Consider the following 22,854-nt stretch of genomic DNA (forward strand, 5'->3'; position numbering starts at 1 on the left):
AAAGGATGTTGTATTTTATCCAAAGCCTTTTCTGTATCTATTGAGATGATCATGTGGTTTCTGTCTTTAATTCTCTTTATGTAATAAATCATGTTTATTGATTTGCATGTGTTGAGCCTACCTTGCATCCCAGGGGAAAGCCTGCTTGATCATGGTAGATTAACTTTTTGATGTGCTGCTGGATTTGGTTTGCTAGTATTTTGTTGAGGTTTTTTGCATCAGTGTTCATCAAAGATATTGGCCTGAAGCCTTCTTTTGTCATGTCTCTTCTATGTTTTGGTATCAGAATAATGCTGGCCTTATAGAATGAGTTGGGGAGGAGTCCCTCCTCCTCAATTTTTTGGAATAGTTTCAGTAGGAATGGTACCAGCTCTTCTTTGTACTTCTAGTAGAATTTAGCTGTGAATCCATCTGGTCTTCGGCCTTTTTTTGGTTGGTAGGCTATTTCCATTTCAGAGTTTCTTATTGGTCTGTTCAGGGAATCAGTTTCTTCCTGGTTTAGTCTTGGGAGGGTGTATGTGTCCAGTAATTTATCCATTTATTCTAAATTTTCTAGTTTGTGTGCATAGAGGCATTGATAGTATTTTCTGATGGTTACCTGTATTTCTGTGGGCTCAGTGGTAACATTCCGTTTGTCATTTCTAATTAAGTTTATTGGATCCTCTGTCTTTTCTTCTTTATTAACCTACCTAGCAGTCTATCTGATTAATTTTCTCAAAAAAACAGCTTCTGGATTCATTGGTCTTTTGAATGGTTTTTCATGTCTCGGTCCCCTTTAGTTCAGCTCTGATTTTGGTTATTTCTTGTCTTCTGCCAGCTTTGAGGTTGGTTTGCTCTTGCTTCACTAGTTCTTTGAGTTGTGATGTTAGGTTGTTAATTAATTTGAGATCTTTTTAACTCTTCTTCTTTTTTTTTTTTTTTTTTTTTTGAGACAGAGTCTCATTCTGTTGCCCAGGCTGGAGGGCAGTGGTGCAATCTCGGCTCACTGCAACCTCCACCTCCCAGGTTCAAGTGATTCTCCCACCTCAGCCTCCCGAGTAGCTGGGATTGCAGGCACCCACCACCACACCCAGCTAACTTTTGTATTTTTAGTAGAGATGAGGTTTCGCCATGTTGGCCAGGCTGGTCTCGAACTCGTGACCTCAGATGATCCACCCGCCTCAGCCTCCCAAAGTACTGGGATTACAGGATTACAGGTGTGAGCTACCGCACCCAGCCAAGATCTTTTTAACTTTTCACTGTGGGCGTTTAGTGCTGTAAATTTCCCTCTTAATATTGCCTTAGCTATGTCGCAGAGATTCTGGTATGTTGTATCTTTGTTCTCATTAGTTTCAGAGAACTTCTTGATTTCTGCCTTAATTTCATTATTCACCCAAAAGTCATTCAGGAGCAGGTTGTTTAATATCCATGCAATTGTACGGTTTCGAAAGATTTTCTTAATCTTGATTTCCAATTTTATTGTTGTGGTCTGAGAGAGTGGTTGGTATGATTTTGGTTCTTTTGCGTTTTCTGAGCATTGTTTTATTTCTCATTGGCTGATTTTAGAGTATGTGCCATGCAGAGATGAGAAGAGTGTATATTCTATTATTTTTGGGTGAAGAGTTCTGTAGATGTCTATCAGCTCCATTTGATCCAGTGTTGAGTTCAGGTCCTGAATATCTTTGTTAATTTTATGCCTCAGTGATCTAATACTTTCAGTCGGGTGTTGAAGTCTCTCACTATTATTGTGTGGGAGTCTAAGTCTCTTTAAACGTCTCTAAGAACTTGCTTTATGAATCTGGGTACTCCTGTGTTGGGTGCATATATATTTAAGAGAGTTAAGTCTTCAGTTGAATTGAACCCTTTACCATTACATAATGCCCTTCTGTGTCTTTTTTGATTTTTGTTGGTTTAAAGTCAGTTTTGTCTGAAATTAGGCCTGCAACCTCTGCTTTTTTTCTGTTTTCCATTTGCTTGGTAGATTTTTCTCCAACCCTTTATTTTGAGCCTGTGGGTGTCGTTATATGTGAGATGAGTCTCTTGAAGACAGCAAACCAATGAGTCTTGCTTATTTATCCAGCTTGACATTCTGTGCCTTTTAATTGGGGCTTTTAGTGTTGACATTGTGGGTTTGATCGTGTCATCATGTTGTTAGCTGGTTATTACGCAGACTCATCTGTGTGGCTACTTCCTAGTGTCACTGGTTTGTATACTTAAGTGTGTTTTTTTAGTGGCTGGTAATGGTCTTTCCATATTTAGTGCTTCTTTCAGGAGCTCTTGTAAGGCAGGTCTGAATGAATTCCCTCAGCATTTGCTTGTCTAAAAAGGGTCTTATTTCCCCTTCACTTATGAGGCTTAGTTTGGCCAGACATAAAATTCTTGGTTGGAATTTCTTTTGTTTAAGAATGTTGAACATAGGCCTCCAATTCTCTTCTCCTTGTAGGGTTTCTGTGGAGAGGCTTAATGTTAATCTGATGGGCTTTCCTTTGTGGGTGACCTGACCTTTCTTTCTAGGTGCCTTTAACATTTTTCTTCATTTTGACCTTGGAGAATCTGATGATTTATGTGTCTTGGGGATGATCTTCTTATAAAGTATCTTGTGGGGGTTCTTTGCATTTCCTGAATTTGAATGTTGGCCCCTCTAGCTAGGTTGGGGAAGTTCTCATGGATGATATACTGAAATAGGTTTTTCAAGTTGCTTCCATTCTCCCATCTCTTTCAGGAGTGTCAGTGAGTCATAGATTCCATCTCTTTATATAATAGGGGCAATTTTTCAAAAGCAGAACTTTGTTACTTGTGTTTGGGATACAGTGAGATTTGTTCTTTGATGTTTAGCTTTTTAATTTTTCATTTTTCTTCTAACTTTTTTTCTTAATTATTAAAACAATTTTTCTCCGTAGAAATGCAGCAGTATAAAATGGCATTATTTACTCTTTTTTCCAGAATAAAGAACTAATAAATATCAGAAATGTTTCAAACCAGGAAAGATCAATGGTAAGCAGTTTGATTTGTCTTTAAATCAAATATACACAAGTTAACGTAAGACTGAAAAAAGTCGCTGATGGATAGATACTTAGAGAGTGATATAAAGTAGGGTTATTAGAACTGTGGAAGGAAAAGGAAACATTATTTAAAACCGTATGTTTTCAGGCCAGGTGCAGTGGCTCCTGCTTGCAATCCCAGCACTTTGGGAGGCTGAAGCAGGTTAATTGCTTGAGGCCAGCAGTTTGATACCAGCCTGGCCAACATGGCAAAGCCTCATCTCTACTAAAAATACAAAAATTAGCCAGGCATGGTGGTACATGCCTGTAATCCTAGCTACTTGGGAGGCTGAGGCATGAGAATCACTTGAACCTGGGAGGTGGAGGTTGCAGTGAGCTGAAATTGCACCACTAAACTTCAGCCTGGGTGACAGAGCAAGACTCTGCCTCAAAAAAAAGTTTTCTTATATATGTCTATATGAATTTTGTATATACTGTTACTATCTTTGTCTAAAAATATCCTTAAAGCAATTTAAGATGCATTTCTATGCAGCCTTTCTTTTCTTTAAAAAATAAAATTCCCCCTCTAAATGTGCAAGACAGCATAGCAATGGGCTGTGCGTGTCATTAAGGATTTAAAGAAATAGAAACCATGAATGTAGCATGTGGGAGGGAAATTTTGGCATTCTGGGGAATTACTAAAAGTTAGAAGACTGAGTAAGAGGTCGAAAGGGATGGGAGTTATGTGTAGGGACTGAAAACAGGTTTGGGAGAGCTTAATGTTTGCTTTTATACTATGACTCTTCATGTTTTCTCTTCAACCATCCTAAAGAAGTCTGATAATGGAAAGGCACTCGCTCTGCAGTGGCCAGGACAAACTTTGTACAAAATCTGTCATATGATGAGGAGTAGGAAATGAAAGAAACGGATAGGAAATATTCAGGAAAATGGAGTATAAGAAGTGTGATCCAGTTATGGGAGGGCACTGGAGAATTTACAAGCATTACAGTGGGAAGTTTTATTCCTTAGTGGAATTGCAAGTAACATAGTGCCTTAAGAAATTTGAATCATTTAGCTTATGTACTTAATCTGAGTCATTTCTGACAATGTTATCTAACTTCCTCTTCCCCCAATTCAATTTAAAAACCACACATTAGGCCGGGTGTGGTGGCAGGTGCCTGGAATTCCAGCTACTCGGAGGCTGAGGCACAAGAATTGCTTGAACCCAGGAGGCTGAGGTTGCAGTGAGACAAGATCGCACCATTGCACTTCAGCCTGGGTGACAGAGCGAGACTCCATCTCAAAAAATAAATGAATAATGAAAACCACACATTTAAATAAAACAAAATGTTTGATAAAATTAGGATAAAATATGAGAAGAGTATTGTTAGAAAAAAGAGGTTTTTTTGAGACACAGGCTTGTTCTGTCACCTAGGCTGGTGTGCAGTGGTGTGATCTCAGCTCACTGCAACCTCCGCCTCCCAAGTTCAAGCGATTCTTCTGTCTCAGCCTCCTAAGTAGCTGGGACTACAGGTGCCTACCACCACACCCGGCTAATTTTTGTATTTTTAGTAGAGACAGGGTTTTGCCACGTTGGCCAGGCTGGTTTCAAACTCCTGAGCTCAAGTGATCCACCCACCTCGGCCTCCCAAAGTGCTAGGATTACAGGTGTGAGCCACCCTGCTCAGCCCTAGAAAAAGTTTTTTATTGATAATATTAAACAATTTATAGATTGGTAATATTAGAGGGAACCTGTAAAAATATAAAAGATAGAAAACATTGAAGAATGAGAAACGCTTCTTTCCTCCTTTACCTTTTTAGGTCTGGAAGGATGGTGTTTAAAAAATAAGAGAAATAGCTATCTTTCCACTACCTGCCATTCCTTTTCTGTTTTGTGTGTGTGTGTGTGTGTGTGTGTGTGTGTGTGTGTGTGTGTGTGTCTGTGTGTGTGTTTAAAAGAAACCCAATATGACTGGACATAGTGGCTCACATCTGTAATCCCAGCACTTTGGGAGGCCAAAGCAGGAGGATCACATGAGGGGTCAGGAGTTTGAGACCAGCCTGGGCAACATGGTGAGACCCCCATCTCAAAAAAAAAAAAAAAAAAGGAAAAAATTAAAAAATAGAAAAATTTAAAAAGTAACCCGATTCAATTACTTTAAAATATGGCAAACAGTTGTTCAGCTATATTACATAGCAATTTGTTAAAAATAATGAAGAATTTTTTTCACCTCTATTTCAGGATGTTGTAGCCAGAACACAAAAAGATGGGTTTCATATCTTTATTGTTTCTATTAAAACGGAGAATACAGATGCAAGCTGGAATTTGAATGGTATAGTTAAACTGCATGCATGTTTACTGTCTGCATTTTCTGTATTCTGTATTTTTGTCACTGACCTGAGTCAACATTCTCTGTTTCAAATACATCATTCAAAAATGAATTTCTGTTAATCATACATTTATTTTAGATACTTAAAATGTAACATTAAGTTATCTTATTGCTACTATTTATTTTTTAATTGATTTAAAATTTTACTGTGTTAAGATAAATTTTTAAAATTTCAAACTTCATAGTGGGATATAAAATTCTCCATTCTTTCAGATTAAAAAAATTTTTTTAACATGTAGAAATGTGTAGGCAACTTTTTAGTTGTGTATTTCAAGTAGGTTATGTTCTCTGTTTCTTGAAAATGGCCATCATCAGGGATTTAAGATTTTTATTATTTGACAAATTTTATTTTAAAGGATCTGTCTGTAGCCTAGGAGTAGAAGCAGCATATCTGCCAGCATGTGCTTCTGTGGTCTGTGAGGCACCCCCACCACTGTAAGTTAGACCCTCTGTGCCTTGTTAAGCTGTGGTTCCTTAGTGCCACAAAAGTAGACTTGCAATAAGCAGTTTTCAAGAGAATGAATGCTTTCCCATATTCTAGAATCACTTTGGCTGATGTTTTCCATAGTGGGTGTGTCTGCTGGGGCCAGCAGTAGCCAATCAGCATGTGAGGGCCCTGGGGATTTGATACTGCTCTGATTCAGCCAGTCAGCTGGCAGAAACCAATGAGGTGAGGTAGGCATTGCTGCAGAGGAGGCTCGGTCTGTTGTACTGCATGGCCCTTGGAGGGAAGCTGGCAAGGTGGCTGCTCTGGAAGAGTGTGAGGTAAGGCTTCCTTCTGGAGATGGCATCATGAGCCAGACTGTGCCAAGTAGAGGGAGCAGGGACCCTGATGCCATTCTGTCACCTATCTTAGTCTGTTTGTGCTGCTATAATAGAATACTTGACACTGGGTAATTTATAAAGAACAGAAATTTATTTCCCCACAGTTCTTGAGGCTGCGATGTCTAAGATCAAGGTGCCACCAAGTTTGGTGTCTGGTTAGGTCCCTGGTGTCTGCTTCCAAGATGGCACCTTAAACGATGTGTTCTCACATGGCAGAAAGGATAGAAGGGCAGGAAGCACAAAAGGGGACAACCACTCTGCTCTCACGGGGTGGAGGCAGAAGAGCAAAGAAGGGCCTAAGCTAGTTCCCTCCAGGCCTTTTGTAAGGCATTAATCTATTCATGAGGACAGAGCCCTCATGACTTAATCACTTCCCAAAAGGCCTCACCTCTTAATACCACCACAGTGGGTATGAAGCTTTAATGAATTTTTGAGGACATTCAGACCATAGAACTAGGCTTGTGCCCACTTCTTTCCCAGGCATTGTGTCTTTTCCCCTGACACCAGCGGGCAGTTTTGAGCCCCTGCTAATTAGTAGCTGGAGCTGTCACTGAGCCCTGCATGTTTTGCACTGTACTCGGCACATGGTTTATTATTGCTATCTCAGACAAAACCCAACCTAGATGTGTGAGTTTGGTAATTTATTCCAAGTTACGTCAAGGAAGATAAGGTCCCGGTGAGATGAGTAAATTAGCAAGGGGGCCAGTCTGAGGTCTTGTTTGGTAGCTGGGACTACTGTGCTCTTGTATATGATCAGATTTGGCACAGGTTTTTAGAATAGCGTGTATACAAGTAGAGGGATCTCTTTTTTTCTTTTTATTGTAAATTGACAATTACATATGACATAAATGTATGGGGTACAAAGTAATGTTATAATCTATAAATACAGTGTGGAATAATTAAGTCAAACTAGTTAACATACTCATCACCCCAAATGCTTAACATTTTTTGTGGTGAGAACATTTGAAATGTACTCTCTCAGCAATTTTGAAACATACAGTACTCTGTTAACTATTCACCATGCTGTGCAATAGAACTCAAAAAAAGAAAAAACTTACTCCTCCTGTGTGAGATTTTTTTTTACCCTTGGACCATCATCTGCCCATGCCTCCTACCTCCCAGCCTCTGTACCCACCATTCTGCTCTCGTATTAGGAGTTCAATTGTTTTAGATTCCACATATAAGTGAAAATGTGCAGTATTTGTCTTTCTGTGCTTGACTCATTTCACTCAGCACAGTGTTTTCCAGTTCCATCCATGTTGTTGCAAATGACAGAATTTTCTTCTTTTTAAAGGCTGAATAGTATTTCATTGTGTATATATACACATTTTCTTCATCCATTCATCTGTTGATGGACACTTACCTTGATTCCATAACTTAGCTATTGTTCATACTGCTGCAGTGAACATGGGGGTGCAGACAGCTCTTTGACAAACTGATTTTAGATCTTTTGGGTAAATAGTAAAGTGGGATTACTGGATTATATGGTAATTCTGTTTTTAGTTTTTTGAGGACCTTCCATACTGTTTTTTATAATGGCTGTACTAATTGACATTTTCACAAAGCATCCCTTTTCTCCACATCTTCATCAGCACTTACTCTCTTTCATCTTTTTGATAAAAGCCATTCTGACAGGTGTGAAATGATATTGGGGTTTTAATTTGCATTTCTCTAATGACTAGTGATGTTGAGCATTTTTCATGTATTAATATCTTTTGCTCATTTATATGTTTTCTTTTGAGAAACATCTAGGTCCCTTGCCTTTTTTTTTTTTTTTTTTTTTGAGACAGGAGTTCGCTCTGTCACCCAGGCTGGAGTGCGGTGGCACGATCTCGGCTCACTGCAACCTCCACCTCCTGGGTTCAAGTGATTCTCCTGCCTCTGCTTCCCAAGTAGCTGGGATTATAGGTGCACGCCACCCCACCTGGCTAATTTTTCTGTTTTTATTAGAGACGGGTTTCACCATGTTGGTCAGGCTGGTCTCGATCCCCTGACCTTAAGTGATCTGCCCACCTTGGCCTCCCAAAGTGCTGGGATTACAGGTGTGAGCTGTAACGCCCAGCCCCTTGCCCATTCTTTTTTTTTTAATTTTTTTTATCTTTTTTTATTTTTTGAGACGGAGTCTTGCTCTGTCGCCCAGGCTGGAGTGCAGTGGCGTGATCTCGGCTCACTGCAAGCTCCACCTCCTGGGTTCACGCCATTCTCCTGCCTCGGCCTCCCGAGTAGCTGGGACTACAGGTGCTCGCCACCACGCCCGGCTAATTTTTTGTATTTTTAGTAGAGACGGTGTTTCACCGTGTTAGCCAGGATGGTCTCGATCTCCTGACCTCGTAATCCGCCCGCCTTGGCCTCCCAAAGTGCTGGGATTACAGGGGTGAGCCACCACGCCCGGCCTGCCCATTCTTTTAATTGGGTTTTTTGTTTTCTTGCTATTGAGTTGTTTGAGCTTATGTATTTTGGATATTAACTCCTTCTTGGATATATGGCTTGCTAATTTTATCTCCCAGTACCTAAGTTGTCTATGTCTACTGTTAATTGTTTCCTTTGTGCAAAGAAGCTTTTTATATTGATGTAATCCCATTTGTCTATTTTTGCTTTTGTTGCCCGTGCTTTTGGGATCAAATCCAAAAAATCATTGCTCAGACCAGTGTTATGTAGTGTTCTCCCTATGTTTTCTTCTAGCAGTTTTACAGTTTCTGGTCTTACAGTAAAGGTATCTTGGTAAGGTTACATAATCAAACAAATACTAATTGTCCAATACCATGTATGTGCTACATACAAATTCAGCATTTGTTAGTGTGGTTTGTATTCTTGGAGCCTTCTGGGAAATGAACTTACATTTAAAGATTTAAGACTGACTGTTAATTAACTCTCTCTTCTTCTCTATCCTAGTTTCTCTTTCTATGATTGGGCCTCATGGATATATCTCTGCATCAGATTGGCCCCTAATGATTGTGAGTATTTCTCATCATTTTTTCCTTTTTAAAAAATGAATTTTATACCCTAAGAGCTTTGTGGTAGTAATTCCTCAGTAGTTAATGCTTTGACATATCCTGTATTTCTGGTTCCAGAGTGACTGGAAAATGAAGGGTTGGATACTTGAATGTAGAAGTGCCAACTTTCAAATGACCAAAAGGCTTAACTGACTAAAATTGCTTCTCTTCCTACAGTTTTACATGGTGATGTGTATTGTTTATATATTATATGGCATACTCTGGCTGACGTGGTCTGCCTGTTATTGGAAAGATATATTAAGAATCCAGTTCTGGATTGCAGCTGTTATTTTTTTGGGAATGCTTGAAAAAGCAGTTTTTTATAGTGAATACCAAAACATCAGCAACACTGGACTGTCAAGTAAGTTTTGACTGTCTCTGTAAATATAGTATGATCTAAGAGTTCCCCAGTATTTATGAGCAGAGCAGTGGGAGGCCCCCTTCTGAACAGTGGTTTGGAAACAGATATATTATAGATGAAGAGAAGGAAAGCCAAGGAAAGAATGTCAGAGTAGGCCTCTGATCTGGCCAAGCATGTGTCTTCTCTTCATTATCTGTTTTCCTTCTTGCTAAATTTCCCCTCACTTTCCTCCTGGGAAAAATAAAAGTCCCGTTTCCTAAGGTTCAGCTTGGATTAAAACAGCACAAAGTTCGGGACAGGGAGACTTCAGGTGCTGTCAATCCTTTTAACATACTTCTCCTTCCCCCCACATCTTCTTTTCTTTCTCCTTCTCCTTCAAAAAACGAAAGGAAATTGGCCGCAGGGAGTAAAATCAGGGGTGCTGGAAGGGATGGTGCCTGCAGCCTCCTTGTGCTCTCCCCACCTCTTTACTCCCACAAAGATCTTCATATAACCAGTGGAGGCACCATCACAGTTTACGCAGTGGAATATGTGAAGCAGGCAGGCCATACAGCTGGGCATCCTCAGATGTGTGCCCCAGACTTCTAGAAAGTGGATTTCAGGCCAGAGAAGTAAAGGTACAACTCTCCCACCAAAGCTTTGGAAAGAGAGAGCTCAGAGAGGTTGAAGGTGCTCAAGAGTGTACTTCTGAGTGACCAGTTACAAATGATCTTGGTGCAGATCTTCAAAGGGCATGATTTTGTCTGTTATTGATTGATTGACAAGGTCTTGATCTGTTGCCCGGTCTAGAGTGCAGTGGTGCGATTTTTGCTCACTGCAGCCTCGACCTCCAGGCCCAAATGATCTGCCCACCTCAGCCTCTGGAGTAGCTGGCACTATGTGTCTGTTACTTATTTTGAAATACTCTAGAAAAAAAATGAATTGGACTATAGATGAAACAAATTTGGCGTAACGTTGCTAATTATTGAAGCTGCATGATGGGCACAAGGGAAATCATTATATTGCTTTCTCTCTTTTTGGGAGTATTTGAAATTTCCCCAAATAAAAAGTTTAAAAGGACATGTACCAAAGAATAAAGAAAGGACAAACATCCAGGATGCATATTAGAGATATCACTACTCTGTAAGAAGTTTTTTATGGTGTGTGTGTGTGTGTGTGCGTGTGCGTGTGCGTGCATGTGTGCTCTAAACCAGATGATGAAGGAAGGGTAGATCTGCTGCTTAGAATTGAAGCATTCCTGAATGTAGAGAAGGCAGTTCTGATGCTTTGCTGTCAGTGGTGGTGATCTCTTGTTTAGTGAAGGTAAAGGGTGGCATGGACTTTAGTGAGGAGCAGCAAAAACCTGAGATCCATGAAGAGGTAAGAGGCCATCTGCCATCCTCAGGGAATCTAAGCTGTCTGAGATGGCACTAGAGGGCTTGGAAGAGATACCCAGACCGCTGTCAGGGTCTTTCAGGAGTCCCGTCCAATAGGAGAGGTGGGCAGGAGCTGATGTCCTTTCTGATTTTCCCAAGTGGGAATTCTGTGACAGGGGCTGTCTTGCCCAGCATTGATCTTGAAGCATCAAATTTAGAAAAATCATTAGAAGGATGAGAAGCATTGACTGTTAGGACCCGACGTGGGTATGTTAAGAATATCATGTCAGACTAATTTTTTTGTTTTGGGATGCTAGATTGACAGGAAGATGTAGTAAACTTAGTATAGCTGACTTCTTCAAGGCATTTGACAAGGTCTCTTGTGACTTCTTGTGGACAAGATGAGCTGAAAACTGGTGGTGCTGCCATATCTAAAGAGTTCATGGAGATAATCACTGGTCAGTCTAGACCGCTGCTGTTTTCTGTGGTAGCCACAAGCCACATCTGGGTACTTAAGTAAAATTAAATTAAATTAAAAATTAAGTTCCTCAGTTGTTCTAGCTTCATCTCAAGTGCTCAGTAGCCACAGGTGACCAGTGACTGCTGTATTGGACAGCACAGAGGTAGACCACTTCCATCATTGCAAAAGGGTCTGTGGGACAGCACTGGTCTGGAGCAATGGTTCTCATCCCTGGTTTTGCATCAGCATCACTTGAAGAACTTTAAAATGGTACCAGTGCCAGAGAGTCTGATTAGGGCAGACCTAGGAAGTGGGGCTGTGTAGAGGCTTCCAGGTGATTCCAATATGCATCTAGGGTTGAGAACCATTGAGCTAGGAGGCTTTGAATGGTGTCTCTCTCAGATTTTAGGCCTTGTTGCTGTTTTATTCTTCTTGTGAATCTGTTGGTTTGTTCAACTAACATTTATTGTGTGACTATGTAGACAGCATTCTCTTAAATTTTGTGGATGATGTGAGGCTGGCCAGGGTCGTAAATACTTAGGGGCATAGAGAATCATTTTAGATAGACCCTTTTCACTTGAAGATATGTGATGAGAGGCAAGAGAGTTGACATGCTGAATAGAAAGGTGAAATCTGATGATCTTGAACTTAGGTTTGGAGTACAAATTGCAAAAATACCAATGGAAAAGTTTTAAAAAGAATTTAAAAATTGAAGCTGATGAAAAGCAAACTCAACATAGGCAATAATAGGGTAGTTGCCTCCCACAAGCTCCCACAACCTCAGATTGCAGCAGGAGCCTGGAAGGAAAGTTGAGAATCTTGCTGTACAGGCCACACTGTACCAGAAACGTTGTAGTCACATTACCTCAAGAGGAGTATAGACAGCCCATGGAGGGATTGACAGCACACTCATCCCTCAACATTTGTGATGATAAACCCCTTCTTTACATTCTGCACTCTTTCGGAGAGCTCATCCATTGTTTTCCTCCTAAAGCTTTCTCTCCTGTGGAACTCTCTATCCTGAGCTACAGACATATATATCCAGTCACCTACAAAACAGCTTCTCAATGCCTTGCAATCTTCTCAACCTCTGAATGGCAAAAAGGGAGCTCATCCTTTCTGCCTTTGTGTGGCGGTCTCGCCCCAGCCCACACTTGCTGCCCTTCCAGGTGTTCCTCTCGCTGCATGATACTGCCAGGAGACCTCAGGACCATCTTTCACATCTTTCTTGGCTTCTTGCTCTGCCTGTAGTTCTAGATCTATCTTCGAGGCATTTGACAAGGTCTCTTGTGAGTTCTTGCAGGCAAGATGGAGCTGAAAACAGTGTGAACTGAAAACATCAGATGGATTCACAACTGGTTTTGCCACCATATTTTCTGAATATCTTTCTGAATCTTTCTGCTTCTCTCTGTGATCACTGCCGGTACTCTCATCATCTCTTAGTTTTCTGGAATAGTCTCCTGAGCATTTTCCTTGCCTGCAGTTTTGTTCCTCTCCAAACCATTGTAGGTAGAGCAATCTTGATAAAATAAAGCCATCCATTTTATTCCAGCAGTCAGCACATTTTTTCTGTCAAGGCCATAGAGGAAATATTTTGGCTTTGCAGGCCATATGGTCTCTGTTGTAACTATTCACCCTTGCCATCAAAGCATAAAAGCAGCCATAGACAACATGCAAACAAATGAGCATTGCTGTGTTCCCATAAAACTTTATGTTCAAAAACAGATCAGATGTAGGGCCAGATTTGGCCCATGGGCCATAGTTTACCAATCCCTCCTTTGTTCTTTTGTTTATTGTTATTGACTTCCCACTGCCCTTAACATCGAGTCCAGACTCCATGACAGGGGCTCCAAACTGCATGATTGGTCCCTGCCTTTATGACCAGCCTCTTTTCTTGACATCTACCATTACACTCTCTGCTGCAGGCATAATGAACTTTGACTTCTTGCAGCATAGTTTGCTTTTCCTCTTTTCTTCTCTGTGCCTTTGCACGTGCCGTGTTCTTTGCTTTGTCATCCCCCACCCCCAAATACTTAACTCCTACTTAGCCTTCAAGTCCTGATTTAGATGTCACTTTTTCTGAGTTTTTCAGGACCCAATTCTAGTTCCCCCAGGTGTAGATTAGACTGGCCTTCTTCCAAGTCTGGAGGGATGATGTGTTACCTCTTGCTCTTACCACACTGAGTTCTATTTACTTAGCCTAACCAGAGTACAAGCTCCATGAAGGCAGGGATCAAGATGTCTTTTTCACTATTATAGCCACACAGTAGGAGCATATCAGATACATTTTAAATGAATACATGATGAGGAGATCCTGGAGAAAAGAGAACTCTAGAGGATGTTGTGGTTTTTAAATATTTACAGGACAAGAAGAGAGAGTTCTGTAAAGAGCAAGAACAGAGGGAAGCTCAGGGAGACAGTGTTCGGGCTGATAGAAGAAAGCTGTGCCCAGTGGAGCAGATTAGATAGATAGGGAGTGAATTCTTGAGGCGAGTATGAATCCTTCACTGAAGTTTTCAAGCATCAGTTGGATTCAGTGACTTTTAAATCAAATGTGGCTGATTGGTCTGAAGTTCGAATGTAGTTATACACAGGACATGTTGTTGAGAATCTTGGTTGGCAGGCTTCCAGGTGTAGACAAAGTGAATTATTTTATTTTTTTCTTCCTCAGCCCAAGGCTTATTGATATTTGCGGAGTTGATTTCTGCGATTAAGAGGACGTTGGCTCGCCTTCTCGTGATCATTGTGAGCCTGGGCTATGGCATTGTGAAGTAAGTACTGGCGTGTGGGAAAAATGCTGGGTCCCAGCCCAGTGATTCAGTCCGTCTACATTATGACCTTTGTGAAAATGGAACTTCTAAGTATTGTAGTACAAATCCCTTTGGGAAAAATCTACAAGAACACATTTTTAAAAGATTTCCACATACTTGCTATTTTATGTTATCTTCCAATAAAGACCCTGAATTTTTATTTCAATAACTTTATATAGTTAGATGAATAAATAATCAACTTTAAGGATAATGGAAAATCTAAAATAATTCAAACCATTTTCAAACCCTTTTCTGTTATTTAGACAGTATCATTAAGCTTTTATGGTCCTATCTGAGTGTTGGAAGAGAGAGTGGATTAAACACCAAGTCAGCAAAACTTCTGACTGAAACCTGTCTGTCCCTCAAGGACTCTGCTTCTGGACCTTCTCCGGCGGGTCTTTTCCTCCTCTCACCTGTGAATCACTGGGCATAACTATGGGAGAACTTGATTTCTATCCTTGTTGTGTTTTTTCAGACCTTTCTTCCTGCTTCTTTCCTAAAACCCTGATTCCCAGAAGCTCACTCTTCAGGCTGGGTCACCTGCTGCATCTTGTTGTGGTCACTGTGAGCTTCCAGACCCTCCCTCATTCCTCAGCTCTGTGGGCACTGGCTTCACAGGTGTCGTCCTCAGCATTTCATCTGTCAGAAGGCCATGGGGTCTCAGGAGCCATGTGCATGACCCTTTAAGTAACCTGACCTCACCTCCCCACCTCTCCTGCTCTTGCCCATCACCATGTTTCAGCTACTGATTCCCAGTATCATTTTCTAGACTTTATTATATATATAACTGCACCCTCTTCAAAATCTCAATTTTAAGCAATCCACTTTTCAACTGTCAACCTCCTCTGTTTCCTGTTACTTTCTTTAACATGTCGGTGTCAGTCTTTTTCGACTATACTTTGGCCTCCAGCCTTTTGACCCTGGCACCTTCCGTTGTCCCTCCCCATCTTATATCCTTACCTTCTTCCTTTTGCTTGGATTCCCTGGTCCAGCAGGACATTGACACCCAAAGACCCCTGCCTTTCTCTTTGTCAACCTTCTTGACAAAACCCCAGCCTTGCTAAGTCCAGCTTTCCTTCTGCCTCAGGCTCCCACCCGAGCAGGGGAATTTGCCCAAAAAGAGCCCTGGACCACACTGAGGGGGCCTACTTGCCATTCATGACCCTAAACTTCACGTGCACCCTCAGTGCTGCTGGCAGTTGTACTCAATCCCCTTGCCACTATTTTCTCACTCTCCTGTCTGCAGAAGACCATTTTACCCCTTTCTCTCAGACTCTACCCTGACCTTCGGTTTTTTTTTCACTGAGGAAGTAGAAGCCATCAGAGGGGAATTCCACTGCATCTGTGCCCCCAGACCCTGTCATTTCCCCCACATCTGGACCGCATGAACCACTTTCCTCTTCTTGATAGTCACGGGCCACCCCTGCCTTTGTGCCCACTCAACTGTGAGGGAAACTGTCCTAGTGCTCGGTTTTGTTTTTTCTTGCATCGTCAGCTTTCCTCTCTGGTGGGTCACCCCCATCAGCATCTCGTTATTTCTACCATTTTTTAAAGTGAAGCCCTCCCTCCACCCCACATGGCCCTCTCCTCCACTTCTGCCTCATTCACCTTTCCCCTGTGCAGCATAACTTCTCACATGAGTAGTCTGTACCTCAGCCTCCCCAGTATTGCTCTATTGAGACTGCTCTTGTCAAGGCCACCATGACCTCACCTGCCATATCACATGGCCCTGCTCAGCCCTCGTCCAGTTGTCCCGTGAGCAGCTTTAAGGAGTGCCAGCTTTGCCTGGTTTCTGGGAGCTCGTCTTCCATCCTCTCACATCACTGGCTACTCCTCCCCAGCCTCCTCTGCTGCACCCTCCTGTGTTCCTGAGCTCCGGCCCCCGGGGGCCCAGGCTCAGGCCTCTGCTCTGTGACTCGCACCCCTAGGCTCTCCTCCTGTGTGCGTGCCCGTTTGCTTGTGAGCTGGGGATTGGGGAGTTAGCAGGATTTTATCCTGGAAGCCTTTATCCCCCTGGACTTTTATTGGAGATTCTTTCTCAAATGCCTTTTGTGTTCTTAGTACAGTGTAGGAAATGAAGGCCTCTTGTTGAGGAATCTTGCAGTACCTTTCACAGCTCTGGTTATGAACATCAGATACCAACAGGTGCAGTGTTGTTACTGTGAAAGGAATAGAAGATTAAATGAATGGGTACAGATACAAACCCTTTTTAAATGAATCCCTTCACTGTTAGCTTGCTCGGCTCAACTCATAAAGTGAGAGCAGTAACAGTTCTGGTTATTTGGAGGTTCTGGTTAGTTGATTATAATGAATCAGAATTTAGATTCCTTAGATTAGGTAAATAGTCTTAATTAAATATGAGCTATGACCACTAACTTAATTTTTTACTTATATTTTGTTTTGAATTGACTATCTTAAATATTTTTTTAAACCAGTTTTTTTCTTCTAATTACTCTGAGAGGAGGGTTTTTGAGCAGCCTTAAATGTATGTGCAATAAATTCTGATTTGCAAATATCATGAAATTATTCTATTTTAAATTATTAATTGCAAAAACCACCATCTTTGTATTTTCCCAACTCAATTATATTTTGAAAGAGCCAAAAAAAATTTTTTTTGTTGTTTTTGTTTTTTTGGAGACAAAAGTCTCACTCTCGCTCAGGCTAGAGTGCAGTGGTGCGATCTTGGCTCACTGCAACCTCTGCCTCCTAAGTTCAAGCGATTCTCGTGCCTCAACCTCCCAAGTAGCTGGCACTACAGGCACGAGCCACCACCCCCGGCTAATTGTTTGCTTTTTTTGGTAGAGACCGGGTTTCACCACGTTGGCCAGTTTGGTCTCGAACTCCTGAGCTCAAGTAATGTGCGTACCTTGGCCTCCCAAGATGCTAGGATTACAGGCATGAGCCACTGCGCCTCGCCCAAAAATGTTATTTTAACTCTTTCAGTTTAAAGAATGAAAATGAAATTCTGTTAGCACTCCTGTTCTGGTTAAGAGCTGGTGATCAGAAAGGAGGTCATGGACTTCCATCTCCTCATGTCCTGCTCTTCCTCTGCCCAAGTCATGAGACAAGTGAATTATCTCTGAAAAGACAGACCTCAGGAAGAATTAAGTTAGACTTCTCAGTGGCACTTAGAAGTTGGCATTTACCTTCCTAGATTTCATCAACCTACTCTTCCATTCTATAGAAACAGTACCTGAATTATATTCATTCTGTTGCTTGAATTTCAGCAGCAAAATCCTCTGGCACCTTTGTGGCCTCCAAATATTGCTTCAAAGGCATCAGTATAGCTTCAGGTCCTAGAGAAAGAGACCCTTTGTTCCTGGGCCTGTTTCCTAAAACAAAGTACCTCAGAGCCGGGAACAGACTGATGTGATTAGATAGTGACTTCCTGGTATTGGAAATGGTGCCAGTTACTGTATTCAGGTGCATTTTACTCACCCATGCTTTTTCTTCTTTCTCTGTTTCCTCTTCCTGATTCCAGGCCTCGTTTAGGAACAGTCATGCACCGGGTGATCGGACTGGGGCTTCTATACTTAATCTTTGCAGCTGTTGAAGGCGTGATGAGAGTCATTGGGGTAAAAACTACATTATTCTACCACCCCTTTTTGTTATTGCTGTGAAATGTGGTTTTACTTTGTATCTCCTGAGATGAATTTTTAGATAGAAACTTGTGAAAAAGGCCCAATTTGAACTTTTCTTCTATGGGATGTTTCCCTTTTAAAATACTTCCTGAAAGGCAAAGGCTAGACAGAGTGCTTCTTAAAATGATATGACTGATTGCGAAGGCACCGCTTGATATCATCCCAGGTATCAGTCCCATCCCAGAAAGGTTCATGGTTGTTCTTCATAGAGAACATTTGTCTTTATCATTATGCAGCTGGTATACCTTAATATCATTCTTAACCCTGGATTTTAAAATGTATCAAGTGAACAGAAAGTTAATTACACCCTTCAGGTATACATACAGTACATTCCATCACTCTTTTAAGTCTCATTTGTTTATTCATTTTCTCTGACTCTTGGGGACTAGCTATTTTGAGGATTCAGTAGACCCCACCATTGGAAAAGCCTAGAGGAAGTGATGTTCAAGGGGAAGATGACTCTGGATGTGGGCAGCAGCACTTTATTCTCTAGAGAAGTATCAGTATTTATGTCTGCAAAGACCCCTAGATTTCTAGCTTCAGTTTTTTTACTTTTATTTTGTGCGGTTTTTTGTTTGGTTGTCTCATTGGTTGATTGGTTGGTTGGTTGGTTGGTTGGTTGGTTGGTTGGTTGGTTGGTTTTGGAGACAGGGTCTTGCTCTGTTGCCTAGGCTGGGGTGCAGTGGTGCAGTGGCGCAGTGGCATGATCATGGCTCACTGCAGCCTCCATCTCCTAGACTTAAGCAGTCCTCCCACCTCAGCCTCCCGAGTAGCTGGGACTACAGGTGCAGGCCACCACACCAGACTAATTTTTGTATTTTTTGTAGAGACAGGGTCTCACTATGTTGCCCAAGCTGGTCTTGAGTTCCTGGCTGGCCTCAAGTGATCCTCTTACCTCAGCCTCCCTAAGTATTGGGATTACAGATATGAGCTACCACTCATGGTTGCTTCAGTTTTTTGAATAAATGGTTGAGGATTGAGTGATTAAGAAGCTTATTATATCTTACCTAATCCAAAGACCTTTGTCATTTTACCTAAAATGTCTTTGGATTAGCTGTATAAATCAGATCATAAATATTTATCCAATAGTGCTAAAAAGCCTCATTCTTCTCCCTGTTGTCTTTGATACACCTGCATTCTGTGTTAGATGCTCTTTTAGTCTTTGAGTATATTTATTTCCACGTTTGTATGATCATGAAGAACTCTGCATTCATATAATAATAATAATAAATACTTGCCAGAAGGAAATAGAAAAGATAAATATCCCACATGTAAATACACCATATATATTGTATTCCTTTAAAATTGTACATAGCTTTGTGGCACACGCCTGTAATCCTAGCTACTTGGGAGGCTGAGGCAGGAGAATGGCTTGAACCTGGGAGGCAGAGGTTGCAGTGAGCTGAGATTGCGCCATTGCACTCCAGCCTGGGCAACAAGAGCAAAACTCCATCTCAAAAAAAAAAAAAAAATTTTACATAGCCAACATCTTAGATAGTGACTTTTAAAGGTGACTAGTCAGAGTAAATGTCTAACATGGATCCCCCCCTTCACTTTTTCTGTGTCCCTTCACAACACAGTCAGGAAAGATCGGGAGTTCGTTTCATTAATAGCCCTGGCTGTCGGTTTGGTATGGAGGAGAGAGATTGAAATGGCTGGTGTTAGTGAGGTTGGGGACACGATGCTTTTTATTTGCCATTACATAATACAGTTTTATGTTGCTATCATCACATAAATTAGCACTTGTTGCTATCAAAAACAGGTCATTTCCATGTGCTTAAACACAATCCTCTTAGGAAATTAAATCTTTTATGTGGCTTTGTAAAGTAATGAGATAAGCTAAATTATTTTTCTTCATCAAATGATAATTGCTATAGTGCAATGAAAGTGTTACATTCAGGTTTCTTCCCTTATTTTTATCTTTCAGGGTTCTAACCATTTAGCTGTTGTTCTTGATGACATTATTTTAGCAGTTATTGACTCCATTTTTGTGTGGTTCATATCCTTTACTGTGTCCTTCAAAATAGTTTGTTGTATCATGAAAATCAGATTACATGTAATTTGTAATAACAATAGAAAGAAATACAGTTATGCATTTTTGTTACCTTAATACGAGGGTTCACTTGAAGGTGAAAAAGTAGCAACTACCCAAACAAGGAATATCTTTATTTTTTCTATGTAGTTTAGCAAACAGTTAGTGCTCATTCTCAGTATGTGCCCCATACTGACGAGGCATGGGTGAAAAAGATGTCCCTAAATTTAAGGGATTCACAGTCTTGTAGGGGAGACAGATACATAACTGGCATCAGTATAGCAGTAGTAGTTGCCATCTTAGAGAGGTGCTGTGCCAACAGGGGAAGAGAGAAGTTAATGCTGGCATAAAAATCAGGAAAGACTTCACAGAGATGGCAACATTTAAATTGAGACTGGGAAGACAAGTAGGGGTTTACTATTAATAAGGAGGTAATTAGGGAAGAGGTATTCTAGGAAGAACGGAGGGGAGCAAATGGTTGAAGCAGGAAAACAGAGGGGGACAGTGGCAGAATGTCCAGGGAAGCCTGCCTCTGGGTGGACATGCATGGGAGAGCCTTGGCAGGCGGTTCAGGGAAGGGTGGCAGGGCATGCTCAAGAGCTGAGTGCCTTCCAGAGGCAGGGGCTGGAGAGGAATTGAAGCTGCACAGGTGAGTAATGTGATGAAACCTGTGTCAGTGAGAACTCTGGTGACAGAAGAAGATGACGTGGGAAAGGAGAGTCTAGAGGCAGGAAGGTGAGTCAGTATTCCTTTGCCTTTGCAGTGGTCGAAAGAAGAGATGGTGAGGGTCAGAAGTAGGGTAGGGGATATGGAAAGAAGAACCCACGTGATAGACTTGCTAGAAATGGGTGGAAGAGAGCAGGTTCAGAGAAGGTTTAGGGGCTGCAGCCATATTGCAGGAGAAGTTTTAGAGGCAGTAAGTACTGGATCCTCGAGGGTCTTCTCTGATTCGATGACTCAAGTTGAGTCTGGGGAATCCCATTGCTTTTTCTTCATGGGGGCACTTGTGGAAATGGGAGGAATTCTAGAGAAAATGTGACTGACCAGAGTGGAATGCAGGGTTATGCATATCCCAGAACATTCTTTGGATCTGTTTCTATTATATTTATGTCCTCTTTGAAGTGCTTTCCTGTTAGATAGGTTTCATTTTTTGCCAAGTTCTTTGTTTCCTCTGTTTTTGATACTTATGTCTTTTAGCTTTTTGACATTAATTTTTTTAAAAAATTGTTTTTCTTGTATCTTTTTCCATTTTCTCATCTATGTGTCTCATAGGAAGGGCCAGAGGGCTTGGATCTCATCACTATGCCCTAGAAGGAAGGTCTCCCATTTTTCAGGTGTGCTGGCAAATGTAGCACTCCTCATAGGCTTTTCTGAGCCACTTGTGGGTTGTTTTCTAAGCTGGGTCTACCTATTCTTTAAATTCCCTGTTTGTGAATTCTCAATATGCTTCCAACTTAAAAAGCCTATGAAGAGTGCTACAAACCTAAAATTTGTAATTCATTGTCCTCACTCGTCAAAGCAGTGATTCTTAACCTTGTTTGGGTACTAGGATCAGACATGCCTTGGAAAATCTGCTAACAGCTGTGGAGCCTCTCTTCACAGAACACAGACACAAGGAGCTTTGCATGACAGGGCAGTTAAAGACTTACCAAATTATATCTGTGGACATCTTAGGAGTCTGAGGAGCCTACTTAGGGAATAATAACTGATCTAAAGAGTTGTTTCTGACTGAACTTGTTTAAAAAAGCATATTCTACTTTGTTCAGAGCTGCTAGTTCAGAATCCAAGTTTGTTGAATAAAATTATAGTTAAATAAATCTGATTTTCTCAGAGAGTAATATAAATATCTTCCTCTGGTGTCATTTTCATATTTTCTATGTTAAAAAAAATTAAAGACATTCATTTGCTAAAAATGTGAAGTCTGTTCCTCAGTTCTACATGTGAGCAGTGTTCCAGTGATAAGAGAGAGTACTCACCACAAAGTCTGTAGGTCCCACAGGACTGCTTGTTAAGGGGACTCTCCTGCCTTGAGAATGGGCAGGAGGTATAAACATACCTTGCACTGGGATAGGCAGAATGACAGTGGAGATGAACCTGCCTGTTGACCTCAGATTATCTTTAGATCTTACTGTCTTATTTTCTGTCATTGTGTGTTTAGAAAATGAGCTGATTATATCTATTCAATTTAGAATTGTCTTGTTTCTAAAACCGTGTATGCTTGGAACTTTAACAAGTTAGGGAGTATGGTCCTTCATTCAATTAATTAAGCTGCAGACTGCGTTTTTTAAAAAATAAACTATCTTTTCTGGTAATTTATAGATATTTATTTCAAAGATTTCTTGTTCTTTTTTTTTTTTTTTTTTTAAGACGGAGTCTCGCTCTGTCACCAGGTTGGAGTGCAGTGGCGTGATCTCAACTCACTGCAACCTCCACCTCCCAGGTTCAAGCGATTCTCCTGCCTCAGCCTCCCGAGTAGCTGGGACTACAGGCGTGCGCCACCACGCCCAGCTAATTTTTTGTATTTTTAGTAGATACGGGGTTTCACCATGTTGGCCAGGACGGTCTTGATCTCTTTATCTTGTGATCTTCCTGCCTCAGCCTCCCAAAGTGCTGGGATTACAGGCGTGAGCCACCGTGCCCTGCCGATTTCTTGTTCTTAACCATCCACAAGGTAGTTCATTGGGAAAAACACTTAGTAATGCAGCTTGGCAGAAAATTCCAAAGAAAAGCAGCTCTGATGGCTCTAATCCATCTGGATTTGAGTGGGGGTAATTTATTACCTTTATGAACAGCATTGACTTTCACACATTCCAGTATCTGATTAGTCAGATTGGGGTAGGAAAATAAGGAAAACAGATGAAAGACTTAGTTTGCTTAATTATGAATATTTATAATGAAAATGTTTCAGGGAATAGTCAAAGAAATCTAAAATGTGAAAGATCTTTAGTGTTTCATGGTGAGACAAAGGAAGTCTAGTGTCTATTTCTGCATGAGCCTGAATTTGTGAAGTTTGCTGTCAGATTGCTC

At 41.2% G+C, this 22,854-nt stretch overlaps 1 protein-coding gene across 4 annotated transcripts in view, besides 1 other annotated feature; it reads left to right on the plus strand.

The window, feature by feature from the left end:
• TMEM87B (transmembrane protein 87B) overlaps positions 1–22,854 on the plus strand; it is a 64,046-nt gene that overhangs the window by 16,721 nt on the left and 24,471 nt on the right. For 2 of the 4 annotated variants that reach the window (XR_923049.2, NM_001329914.2), the window contains exons 5-10: positions 2,923–2,973; positions 5,203–5,293; positions 9,068–9,129; positions 9,346–9,529; positions 14,016–14,115; positions 17,636–17,729. Coding sequence is in view for 3 of the 4 variants with exons in the window: in NM_001329914.2 (NP_001316843.1) it covers positions 2,923–2,973; positions 5,203–5,293; positions 9,068–9,129; positions 9,346–9,529; positions 14,016–14,115; positions 17,636–17,729 (582 nt within the window). In the remaining variant the exon portion in view is untranslated. Of the gene's footprint in view, positions 1–2,922; positions 2,974–5,201; positions 5,294–9,067; positions 9,130–9,345; positions 9,530–14,015; positions 14,116–17,635; positions 17,730–19,722; positions 19,795–22,854 lie in introns of all 4 variants that reach the window. The other 2 variants (NM_032824.3, XM_005263827.3) reach the window with 2 other exon arrangements.
• Positions 15,382–15,471: an enhancer, noted in NCBI's record as "active region_16390". NCBI's record gives its function as "activates an Ori minimal core promoter by ATAC-STARR-seq in GM12878 lymphoblastoid cells {active_cell/tissue: GM12878}" and the evidence as "EXISTENCE:reporter gene assay evidence [ECO:0000049][PMID:35858748]".

The sequence above is a fragment of the Homo sapiens genome, chromosome 2 (assembly GCF_000001405.40).
Source record: "Homo sapiens chromosome 2, GRCh38.p14 Primary Assembly".
Classification (NCBI taxonomy): domain Eukaryota; kingdom Metazoa; phylum Chordata; class Mammalia; order Primates; family Hominidae; genus Homo; species Homo sapiens.